Raw genomic sequence first — 12,657 nt, forward strand, 5'->3', positions numbered from 1 at the left:
ACAACAACAACAACAACAACAACAAAACCAAAGTACTCAGGCCCCTCTTAGACAGTTGACCTCATGGGTTCCCCCTGAGCCCTGGTCTGTGGGTTAGGGATGTGGCCTGCAGGTGATTATGACTTCAGGCTCTGCCTTTTGGACCTGGACATTTGGGCCTCGACTATACTGTAAGGGGAGAACATGGCAGGCACTCCTGGCCCCAGCCCTCTAAGGCCCTCGTTATCGCCCAGTTTGCCAGGAGGTGGGGAGGCTCCTCTGCAGGTAAGCACATTCTTTCTCTGGAAATGGCTATGTGGGGCCCTGCTGGGGGAGGTGGTGGGCATCTGGCCAGGGCCATTGCCAGGTGTGGGGAGCGGGCAGCCTGCGGCCCAGCCCATGTGTGCACAGGAGGGTGCTCCTTCAATTAATGACCACCTGCTGAGTGAGGTGCCTTGAGCAGCTGTTTGCAGAGGGAGCCCCTGTTCAGTTAACAACAAAGGTCTTTCTTTGGAAGCTCTTGGGCCTGGAGGACAAGAGCAGCACAAGCTCTAAAGAGAGTCCCCTGGGCTTGAGTCCCAGCTCAATGTTTGGTAGCTGTGTGACTTTGGGCAAGTGCTTCAACCCCTCTGAGCCTTCAGTTTCTCACTTATACAATGCGGACAGTAAGAGTGCTTATCTCAAAGGCCAAGGATTTAACCTCCAGGTTAAAGGACACTGAAGAGAGGTGACAACAAAATGAATTGGCCGGGTGGGGTGGCTCACGCCTGTAATTCCAGCACACTGGGAGGCCGAGGCGGGCGGATCACTTGAGCTCAGGAGTTCGTGACCAGCCTGGCCAACATGTTGAAACACCATCTTTCCTAAAAATACAAAAAATTAGCTGGGCATGGTGGCTTGTGCCTGTAGTCCCAGCTACTTGGGAGGCTGAGGCAGGAGAATCGCTTGAACCCGGGAGGCGGAGGTTGCAGTGAGCCGAGATCACGACACTGCACTCCAGCCTGGGGGACAAAGCAAGACTCTATCTCAAAAAAAAAAAAAAAAAAAAAAACCTAAAATGCAGTATGTGGCCAGGTGCAGTAGCTCACATATTTAATCCTAGCACTTTGGGAGGTTGAGGTGGGTGGATCAGGAGTGTGAGACCAGCTTGGACAATGTGGTGAAACTCTGTCTCTATTTTTAAAAATAAACAATTTTAAAACAAATTTTAAAAATGCAGTATGTGAGCATATGGTGGGAAAAAAGGTATAAAGCACATCAGTGGGATGGTTGATAAAATTGGGTATGGGCTGTAGATTAAAGTATTGTATCAACATTAAATGATCTGATAACTGTTTATATGAGCCCTTGATCTTTGGAAATTTGCAAGGCTAAAGAGGCACAGGGTAAATGTATAGATATAGAATGAGGCAAAATTGTACAAATAGGCAAATCTGGATTAAAAAGTATAGAATTCTTTGTACTTATCACTTCTGAAAGTTTTTTGAAAGTATTTCAAAATACAGCTTTAAAAAATGCCTGTCTTGCCAGGTGAGGTGGCTTACACCTGTAATCCCAGCACTTTGGGAGGCCAAGGTAGGAGGAACGCTTTAGGCCAGGAGTCTGAGACTAGCTTGAGCAACATAGCAAGATTCTGTTTCTTCCCAAAAAAAGAAAAAAAAAATTGCCAGGTGTGGTGGCACACGCCTGTGGTCCCAGCTACTCCAGAGGCTGAGGCAGGAGGATCACTTGAGCCCAGGAATTTGAGGCTGCAATGAGCTATGATCACTCTACTGCCCACTAGTTTGGGTGATAGAGCGAGACCCTGATTTAAAAAAAAAAAGAAAGAAAAAGAAAAAAAAGCCTGTCTTATGAGATTGTGGTGTGATGAAATGACATTACTTCCCGGTACTTAAAACAGCCTCTGGCACTCATCGAGCATTAGCTGTTATTGTTGCTGCCGCTTTTTGTTATCTTTAGTATGGGCAACGTGTGTCCCATCTCCTGTTGCCATGATCCTGAGGGGCAGGCCTTGTTTCTCCACTTTACAGATGACACAGTTGAAGCCCAGAGAGGTGAAGTGGCTTGCTCAGGACACCGCAGAGGCCAGGGCCGTGGGAGGAGGACTGCAGAAGTGCTTAAAGTTTATTTTGAATTAATCATCAACATTTGAAAACCACAAGATTTTTACATAAAGCCTAGATTTCTAGTTTCTTTTGCCAACTTAGAAGGCCTGTACCCCTGGCCACGTTGCTGCATGGCAGCTACCGGTGGAAGCTCGGCAGGGTGGCGCCTCACCCAGAGCTCGGGCCTCCAGTGTGCCCCAGTCCCCACCTAGCCAGCCAGCCTTGCCTGTCATTGTCCCCGCCTGGCCTCCGGGGGCTCCCAGTTCACTGTCCTAGGAAGTGATCGCAGGGTGCTGGGCCACAAAGCTTGGGTTCTCCCCTTCCCCGGCCTGCTCCCCCACGCAGAGGGCATAGCATTGCACTGCCTTGACTCAGCCAGTATTTGAGCACCTGGTGTGTGTGGGCAATGGCTGGGGGCTTCAGGCGAGGAGGAAGAGGAGCTGAAGCTTTGGGGCTCCAGCCTGCTCTCCTGTCACAGTCCCAGGCCTCTGTCCATCCCTCCTGCAGCCTCAAATGTGTGCCTGGCCCTGAAGAAGGGGTGCGGGGTGGCTCGCTGACCACGCCTTGAGGACGGTGCAGGAGGAGCCCCCGGGCTGCTGTTTTTTTTCCTTTTTGGGTGTATGTAGGCAGGCAGTCCTTTCTCTGTGCCGAGCCTCTGGTTCTTCCTATGTGAGATGGGGCTAGACCACCTTCCTGGAGGGTGGGTGGAAGCAGGAGGAATGGGACTTGTCAGTGTTGAGCAGGGCTGAGCTCTGCACACATGATTGACATGATGGTTTCATTCCAGTGCTTGGCTTCTAATGCCACTGGTCCCCCGCCAGCCTGGCTTCGGGGCCAGCAGGAATGGGTTGAGCAAAGGCTGGCAATAGGCATGACCCAGGGTGTGGGGTGGAGGCAGCCACTGGGTAGGCATTGTTTGTGTGCCTGGGCAGGCATTGTTTGTGTGCCTGGGTAGGCATTGTTTGTGTGCCTGGGTAGGCATTGTTTGTGTGCCTTCGTAGCTGTGCCTTAAGGTCATCATCTCACAGAGGAGGGGACAGGCTCAGTGACGATGGCAGGAGCTCACCTTGGTGAGTTTGGTGTTCAACAGATGGGGAAACTGAGGCTCAGAGAGGTGAAGTGACCCTCAGAGGTCCCATGACCAAGCAATAGCAATGCTGGGACTAGAAGCCAGAGTTTCTGCCTCCTGGGCTAAGGCTCTGGGCTCCATTCCCAGGAGGAGGAAAAAGCTCGTTTCTTATTTTTAAATGGTTTTCATTTTTTAAAGTACAGAAACAATTCACATTTAGGTAATGAAAAATCAGAAAATATAAGTAATAAGGTGGGGAAAAAACTTCTTAATAGAATTGGAACTCGAAGTAACCCATTAACATATTGGTGTATATTCTTCCAGACTTCTTTTCTTTTTTCAACATATTACAAGAAAAAAAGTTGAGCATTACAACTTTCTTTATTGTCCTCTAAGGGGAGTTCTGTCTGCCCCAGGCTTTGGGTGTGGAGTTGGGGGTCAGGGAGGTTAAAGTGTTACAGACATCAGCAGCCCAGCCTTTGACACAGGAGGTGCCCTGCACGATTTTCTCTGTCCCCTGTTGCAGACATTTCGGTTGTTTCCAGCATTTTCGCAGTTAGAGAGCTGCACTAAACAGCCCGTAGCTAAGTCCTTGCATGTAGTGGGACTGTTTCTTTAGGGTAAATTAAAACGAGTCCATTTCTTTTTCTTTTCTTTCTTTTTTCTGAGATGGAGTCTTGCTCTGTCGTCCAGGCTGGAGTGCTGTGGCGCAATCTCGTCTCACTGCAGCCTCCGCCTCCTGGGTTCAGATGATTCTCCTGTCTCAGCTTCCTGAGTAGCTGGGATTTACAGATGTGTGCCACCATGCCCGACTAATTTTTGTGTTTTTAGTAGAGACATGGTTTCACCATGTTGCCCAGGCTGGTCTCAAACTCCTGGCCTCAAATGATCCACCCCTGCCGTGGCCTCCCAAAATGCTGGAATTATAGGTGTGAGCCACCGCACCCAGCCAAAAATGGGTCCGTTTCTTACCTTTGTGGTGCCCTCAGGCTGGACCCAGGTTTGTGGTGGGACCACGTCTGGGAGTGTGGAGGTCTTGGGCACTGAGCGCTTTCCACTGCCCACTCTTTTGTGGTCAGAGGATGAGACAGGGAGGGGCTCCGGGGGGAGGGCTTTGCCAGGAGTGTGTTCTAATGACGCCGCCCAGGCTGGCACTGGAAGCCTTTAAGCTCCTGTGGTGAGGTGGGTTGAGGTGGGGGTGGAGGCGGTGGTGTCTGCTGCTACATGCTGGTGGGGACTGGAGGCCAGAGCCTGGAGCCTCCTTTGCTTCCAGCAGGAGGGGACCTCAGGAAGAACTTGTGTGTGTCTCTGTCTTTGTCCTTGTCTGTCTCTAACTGCCTTTCTCTGTGTGTCTGTCTATCTGTCTGTCTCTGTCTCTCTCTGTCTGTCTCTCTCCAGTCAGGAGCAGGGTTGAGGCTGGGTCTGTGTTTCTGACCCTGAGACCTCGGGGGAGTTACCTTCCCTCTCAAGACCACATGATCCTCATCTGTAGGAAGGGGCTAAAAACGACCCCTTCGCTGTGTGAGACATGGAGGAGATGGCAGATCCCAGAGTGCTTTCAGTGACAAGGTTTTGACGTTTCATTATGAACAAGCCAACAGACACAGCAGCAGACAGGGCAGCCCACCAGCACGCCACTCCACGCACCCCTGCCTCCGCTTCCGCAGGCTCCAGCCCATGGCCTCTGGGAGCTGCCTCTCCTCCCACACACAGCCCCCTCCAGGCACCCTGTCACTTCATCTGTGAGAATGGTAGTCTATGTTACTAAAAGATAAGATGCTTAAAAAACACACAATCACCAAATAACTGTTAGAACTAATAAACTAACACAGTGAAGCTGTAAAGTCAACACACAAAAATCAGTCATGTTTCTGTATGTTAGCTAACTATCTGAAAAAGAAATCAAGAAGATAATCCCATTCACAATAGCCACGCGAAAAAATACTTAGGAATAAATTCAACGGAGAAGGTGAAAGAGCTGTATGCTGAAATCTATAAAACAATGAACCAAGAAATGGAACAAGATACAAATAGATGGGATTTTATCCATGTTCATGGATTGGAAGAATTAATATCGTGCAAATGTCCATACTACCCAAAGCTATTCAATGCAGCCTTTGTCAACATTCCAGTGACTTCTCACAGAAAAAGAAAAAACAGGGAACACACCTTTGGTTTATACCAAAAGCTGTGTCTCCCTGCCCCCCCACCCCCACCCCCTGCCAAAACAAAAGAAAAAACAATTCTAAAATTCAGGTGAAACCACAAAAGACCCCAAATAGCTAAAGTGATCTTGAGCAAGAAGATCAAAGCTGAAGGCATCACACTACCTAATTTCAAAATATATTACAAGCTACAGTAATTAAAATAGCATTGTACTGGCATAAAAATAGACACATTGGGCTAGGCATGGTGGCTCATGCCTGTAATTCTAGCATTTTGGGAGGCTGAGGTGGGAGGATTGCTTGAGGCCAGAAGTTTGAAGCTAGCCTGGGCAACATAGCAAGACCTTGTCTCTACAAAAAAAAAAAAAAAAAATTAAAAATTTGCCGAGTGTGGTGGCAGGAGCCTGTCGTCCCAGCTACTTGGGAGGCTGAGGTGGGAGGATTGCGTGAGCCTAGGAGCTTGAGGTTGCAGTGAGCTATGATTGTGCCACTGTACACCAGCCTAGGTGACAGAGTGAGCCAATTAAAATATATATATATATTTATAATTTCTTTTTTATAGAGATAGGGCCATCTAAAGTGCTGGGATTACAGGCATGAGCTACCATGCCTGGCCCATAAGACTCTGTTTCTGGAAAAAAAAAAAAAAAAAAAGACGTATCAACCAATGGAACAGGATAGAGAGCTCAGAAATGAACCCATGAATATATTTACAGCCCAATGATTTGTTTGTTTGTTTGTTGTTCAGATAGTGTCTCACTCTGTCACCTAGCCTGGAGTGCAGTGGTGGGATCTTGGCTCACTGCAAACTCTGCCTCCCATGCTCAAGCCATGCCCCTACTTCAGCCTCCTGAGTCACTGGGACAACAGGTGCATGCCACCTTTGGCTAATTTTTGTATTTTTTGTAGAGATGGGGTTTCAACATGCTGCCCAGGCTGGTCTCGAACTCCTGAGCTCAAGGGCTCTGCCTGCCTCGGCCTCCCAAAATGCTGGGATCACAGGCATGGGCCACTGTGCCTGCCCAGTCCATTGATTTTTTTGACAAAGATGCCAAGGACCCACTATGGGAAAAGGATAGCCTCTTCAATAAATGGTGTTGAGAAGACTGGGTTTTCACAGGCAGGAGGATGAAATTAGATCCTTACATATAAAAACCAACTCAAAATGGACTGAAGACTTAAACATAAGACCTGAAACTATAGAACTACTAGAAGAAAATATAGGGAAAAAGCTATGTGATACTGGTCTGGGCAATTATTATTATTATTTTTGACTCCAAAATCTCATGCAACAAAAGCAAAAATAGACAAATAGGATGATGTCAAACTTAAAAGCCTCTGCATGGCAAAGAAAACAGGTAACAGAAGAGACAACCGATAGACTGGGAGAAAATATTTGCAAGCCAAACATCTGAAAAGAAGTTAATATCCAAAATAGATAAGGAACTCAATAACAGCAACAACAACAACAAACCCAATTAAAAAATGGGCAAAGAACCTGAATAGGCATTTTTCAAAAGAACCCATGCAAATGACCAACAGGTATACAAAAAAATGTTCAACATTACTAATCATTAGGGAAATGCATATTAAAACCACAGTGAGGTATCATCTCACACCTGTTAGAATGGCTATTATTAAAAAGACAAGAGAAGCCAGGCGTGGTGGCTCACGCCTGTAATTCCAGCACTTTGGGAGGCTAAGGCAGGAGGATTGCTTGAGCCTGGGAGTTTGAGACCAGCCTGGGCAACATAGGGAGAACCCATCTCTACAAAAAATAAAAAAACAAGGCAGGTGTGGCAGCGTGCACCTGTAGTTCTACCTAGTCAGGAGGCTGAGGTGGGAGGATCACTTGAGCCCAGAATTCAGAGGCTGCAGTGAGCTATGATCACATCACTGCACTCCAGCTTGGGCAAGACCCTGTCTCCAAAAAAAAAGAGACAGGTGTTGGAGATAATGTGGAGAAAAGGAAACCCTTGAGCACTGTTGGTGGGAATGCAAATTAGCACAGCCATTATGGAAAATAGTAGGAACCTCCCTTCCTTCCGCTTGTGGGTACATATCCAAAGGATTTGAAAGCAGCATGTCAAAGAGATATCTGCACTCCCATAATCATTGCAGCATTATTCATAATAGCCAAGATCTAGAAACAAGTGTCCATTAATGGATGAAGAAAATGTGACATATATACACAATGAGATACTATTTAGCCTTAAGAAAGAAGGAACAACATGGGTGAACCTAATGGACATTACACTAAGTAAAATAAGCTAGGCACAGAAGGACAAATACTGCACGATCTCACTTATGTGTGGAATCCAAGAAATCTAGGCTGTGTGCGGTGGCTCATGCCTGTCATCTCAGCTCTTTGGGAGGCTAAGGTGGGAGAATTGCTTGAGGCTAGGAGTTCAAAACGCATGGGCAACATAGCACCCCACCTGTACAAAACAAAACAAATGCAAAAGACCACCACCAACAAAAAAATCCAATTGAACTCAGAAGCAGCAAGTGGAAGGGTGGTTACCAGAGGCTGTGTGTAGGTAAGGGGGGCAGGGGTGGGATGGGGAGAGATAGAGAGAGGTCAGTCAAAGGATACAAAGTTTCAGTGGAGGAATAAGTTTTTTGAGACCTATTGCACAGCATGGTGACTATAGTTAATGTACATTTCAAAATTACTAAGAGGGTAATTTCAAATGTTTTCACCACAAACAGTGCTAAATACTTGAGGTGATATGTTAATTAGCTTCATTTCATCATTCTCCATTGTATATATGTAACGTCACCTTGTATCCCATAAATATATACAATTATAACTGATCAATTTACAATAAAATTAAAAAAACAAACATTTTACCACACATATTGCTAAACATTAGCAGTAATTCTTTAAGATCGTAACTATCCATTCGGTGTTCAAACTTCCAATTGTTTTGTAAATGTCATATATATATATATTTATATTTTATATATTAGATTTATCTTTTTTTTTCTTTTTTTGAGACAGGGTGTCTGTTGCCCAGGCTAGAGTGCAGTGATGCGATTTCGGTCCACTGCAACCTCTACCTCCCAGGCTCAGGTGATCCTCCCACCTCAGCCTCCCTAATAGCTGGGACCACAGGCATGCACCACCACACCAGGCTAATTTTTTTGTATTTTTTGTAGAGACAGGATTTCACCACGTTGCCCAGGCTGGTCTCGAACTTCTGGACTCAAGTGATACGCTTGCCTCGGCCTCCCAAGGTGCTGGGATTAGGGACGTGAGCCACCGTGCCTGGCCTATATGTTAATATTAGCTTTTTAAAATCAGGATCCAGAGCCAGGCATGGTGGCATGCACTTGTAATGTAACCTCCAAGCTACTCGAGAGGCTGAGGCAGGAGGATTACTTGAGGTTGGGAGCTGGAGGCTGCAGTGAGCTATGACTGCGCCACTGCACTCCAGCCTGGGTGACAGAGAGAGCCCCTGTCTCTTTAAAAAATAATAATAATCAGGATCCGAATGAGGTCTGCATGATGAGACTGTGATATGTTTCTTCAGTTTTTCATCTGTAGGACTGGTACTCATTCTCTCTGTCTTCCATGTGGTGTTTTTGTTGAAGCTGGGTCCCTTTACCTGTAGGAGAGCTTCCTATAATGTGTAGCATGCTCCTTGTCCCCTGAATCCTATAAATTCATAGTTGTATCCAGAGGCTTGATCTAATTCAGTTTTGATTTTTTTCACACAACAGCACATTGGAGATGCTATTGGAAATTTCTGGGAGGCACGTGGTCTGGTGAATTTCCTTTTGTAATACTGGCAGTCATTGATATTCAATGACTTTAAGGTAGTATTTTTTTTTTTTTTTTGAAACATGGTCCCTCTCTGTCTCCCAGGCTAGAGTGCAGTGGCTCAATTATAGCTCACTGCAGCCTTGACCTCCAGGCTCAAGCAATCCTCCTATCTCAGCCTCCCAAGTAGCTGGGACCACAGGTGCCCACCACCAGCTCAGGCTAATTTTTTTTGTAGAGATGAGGTTTCACTCTGTTGCGCCGGCTGGTCTTGAACTCCTGGGCTCAAGCGATCCTCCTGATCTCCCTGTCTTGGTCTCCCAAAGTGCTGGAATTACAAGCATGAGCCACCACGCCCAACCCTTAAGGTAGTATTTTTAGTTACAGTAAAAACCTTCCGTATTCACCCTGTTACAAGTGGTGCCTAGTTTGGTGTTGGGTGGAAAACTACCCATCTCAGGGCATTGTTTTTCCTTTTTCTTGCTTTTTCTTGATTGTAGCTGGTTTTCCTCCTCTGTTAATTATTTGGGTAGTATATTTTCATTAGAGAAAAATTGAAAAGCAGATCTAAACAAAAAGATAAATATTAAAATAAAACTGTGCCAAATTCTATCACCTAGTGATAACTCCTAAGATTTGGGACATTTTCTTCCCGATTTTCTTGTATGCAAAAAAATACAGGCATCCCTGTGACATCGTTAAAAAAGAAAGGGGTCACACTTCACATGCAGTTCTAGGAGCTGCTATTTTCAATTTGTGGTATGTCTGAAGCCCCCTTTGAGGATCTGGTGGGAGGGACATGGCCTTCCTCCCTGCCTGTCCATGGGTCACACTGGGCCGGGTGCAGGGAAGGACAGGCGGCCTCTGGTGCGGCCCAGCTGCCAAGTTTTTCAAAGGAAATAAGGGCTTTTGGTTGGCAGGGCGGTTGCTTTCACATCTGTTCTTTTAGGATTCTCTGCTGTTACTCAACACACCATGACCCCAGCTGCCCCTTTCCTTCTCCAAAGCCCCGTCTCCCAGGCGTGGCAGAGATCGGGGCCCTGGGGATCATGGGAGTCAGGCCCCTGCCCTTGAGTGGGCTTTGTCGCTTACATGAAGTCGGGCTGTTCATCTTTCCTTGTTGTGGCATTGGAACTCAGCCAAGCAGCAGCGATTTAGGAGGGGCAGTAGCCGCAGGGTGCCGGGTTTAATGGGAAAGATGCTGTTTACTTAGAATATGTGTTCATTTGGAGTGGCTTTGGGGCTTACCCCAGGCCACCCCTTAGGACCACCACTGATTAGGGGTCAGAAGGCGCTAGTGGACCCGGGCATTTTCTTATGTTCCTAGCCTGCACAGGAACAGATCCCTGCACATCCCTGAGCCCACAGCTGAGAAGAGATGTGGGCAGAGGCCTGGAGGAGGTGGGTGGATGCACTGGAATGTTCCCCGCCTCCCAGCGTGAAAGATGCATCTGGGAGGAGGGGGAGTGTCTCCATCGAGCTGTGCTGCCTCTGCGAGTCCCTCTCCCTGGGGAGCTCACCTCAGTCCCAAGTGTGGAAGAGCTGGGGGGCGTGAAACCACACGGAGTCAGCCCTGCTCTGTCCTCCCACGTAGGGTGAGCAGGAGGGGACGCTCACACGGCTGGCTGCACTGTGTTATTGTTGGGAGTATCTGGGTACAGGTCAATCTGGCAGAAATGTCGTGAGGTCCTGTGGTGCTGGGGAGAGGTGGTCCTTGCCCTCAGCCAGATGGGTCTGATGGAGGAGAAGACAGGACCTTCAGTCACTCCTGAGCAGGGAGGGTGCTGCATGAATAAGTTCAGGTTCTTTGAGCTGCAAGTACCAGAAACCCACTGTAACCAAAGGGAAAGGGAGAAAGAGAGGACTTGAGACTTTGTGGGGATTCAGGCATGGCTGGATCCAGGGGCTCAAATGGTATCATGAAGACTCTGCTTCTCTCTCCATTTCTCTGTCTTGGCTTCCTTTTCAGGCCAGTTCTTCCACAGAGAGGTTGTATTTGTAATCTATTGCTGTGTAACAAATTATTCCAATTACCTCATAATTTCTGTAGGTCAGGAGTTCAGGCTGAGCTGGGTGCTTCTGGCTGGGGTTCTCTGATGAGGTTGCAATCAAGCTGCCTGTCAAGCTGCAGTCATCTGAAGGCTTGACTGGGGCTGGAGGGTCTGCCTCCAAGGCAGCTTTGTCACATGCAGGGTGGGTTGGTGCTGGCTGCTGGCGGGAGGCCTCCGTTCCTCGAACACAGATCCCTCCTTGGGGCTGCTTGAGTGTCCTCGAGCCATGGTGTCTGGCTTCCCCTAGAGGGAGAGATCCAAAGGAAAGCTGAGTGGAAGCTTCTGAGATCTTTCATGATCTCAGAAGCCGCATATTGTGGTTTCCACGATATTTTATTGGTCACACAGGTGGTGTGGGAGGGGACCATTCACAGACATGAGTGCCAGGGGACAAGGGTCACTGGAGGCTGACTGCCACTGTGGCAAAGATGGCCCCAGTGGCTCGTAGCTCACACCTACTGCCAAGTGAATGAGAACACTTTCCCACAGTCCCAACAAAAGTCCTGGAAGTGAATTTCACAGGACCACCTGAGTCTCACACCCATTCCTCCATATACGCTAGTTGTGAGTCCACCCCTGCAGGGCTGGTTCCCCATAGGAACAGGGAGCTGTTACCAAAAGTGGACATGACATCCTCTGTGGAGAGGTCTATGGCATTGTGGCCTAGAGGAGGTGATGGTGGGGCACTGGGGAAGGCTTCCTGGTAGAGGCGGCACCAGTACCTGGCGGGATGGGTAGCATTTTGAGCATTCCAGGGACACTAAGGCCTGAGCAAAGAAATGGAAGAGTCAGGCAGCTGGGTAGCAGGTGGAGGCAGATAAGGATGGAAAAGTGAGTTGGGCCAGGTGGGGGTCCCCGAGAGGCAGGAGGAGGAGGCAGGACTTGCCTCTGGAGGCACAGGCAAGCCATGGAAGTTGTTTGAAGGAGGGGCAGGCACGTCGCAGAGCCTAGGGATTTAGGGTTTAGAGCGGGGAGAACGCCTGGCTGGCCTCCTCCCTGCTGGCTTGCACCCAGCACCCACCATGTGCCTTGTCGGCATTTCTCACAGCCCCCCACGGGCTCCCAGCAGAGTGGGCCACATCTCCTGACTTTACAGAGGGACTCCCTGAGCCACCAGGGTCCCCTAGCTCCGCCAAAGTCTCTCCCTGGAGCCCCTGACTCCAGAGCTCTCAGACAGGAATAATAGCAGGACCTTCCTGAAGGCTCCTCTTCATCCTGCCAGGACGATAGGCGAGGTTGGCGACAAGTGGCCAGCCCAATTGCTCAGACCCTCCCAGGGCTCCTCCCGGTGCCGTGAACCCCCGACCTTAGGGGAAGGAAGAGGTGACTGTGGCATGGACGGTGGTTTTTGTTCTCATATCCCCTGGCCCCTACAGAGACGTGCCCAGAGTTCCAAGCCCACTGGGTGCTGGGGCTTTCCTTCCCCCAGTAAGGGCTCGACATCTAGGTTTGTGTGGCAGGGCCAAGCTGTTTGCTCAGCACTCAGTGTTATTTGTCCCTTGGCTGACTGACAGCTTGACTG

At 48.4% G+C, this 12,657-nt stretch overlaps 1 protein-coding gene across 7 annotated transcripts in view, besides 1 other annotated feature; it reads left to right on the forward strand.

Moving 5' to 3' along the window:
* ADCY7 (adenylate cyclase 7) overlaps positions 1-12,657 on the forward strand; it is a 73,437-nt gene that overhangs the window by 4,751 nt on the left and 56,029 nt on the right. The window lies entirely within an intron of this gene.
* Positions 4,735-5,234: an enhancer, noted in NCBI's record as "H3K4me1 hESC enhancer chr16:50288095-50288594 (GRCh37/hg19 assembly coordinates)". NCBI's record gives its function as "activates a minimal SCP1, AML or CMV promoter by ChIP-STARR-seq in primed H9 embryonic stem cells {active_cell/tissue: H9 hESC(primed)}" and the evidence as "EXISTENCE:reporter gene assay evidence [ECO:0000049][PMID:30033119]".

This window comes from Homo sapiens, chromosome 16 (genome assembly GCF_000001405.40).
Source record: "Homo sapiens chromosome 16, GRCh38.p14 Primary Assembly".
Classification (NCBI taxonomy): domain Eukaryota; kingdom Metazoa; phylum Chordata; class Mammalia; order Primates; family Hominidae; genus Homo; species Homo sapiens.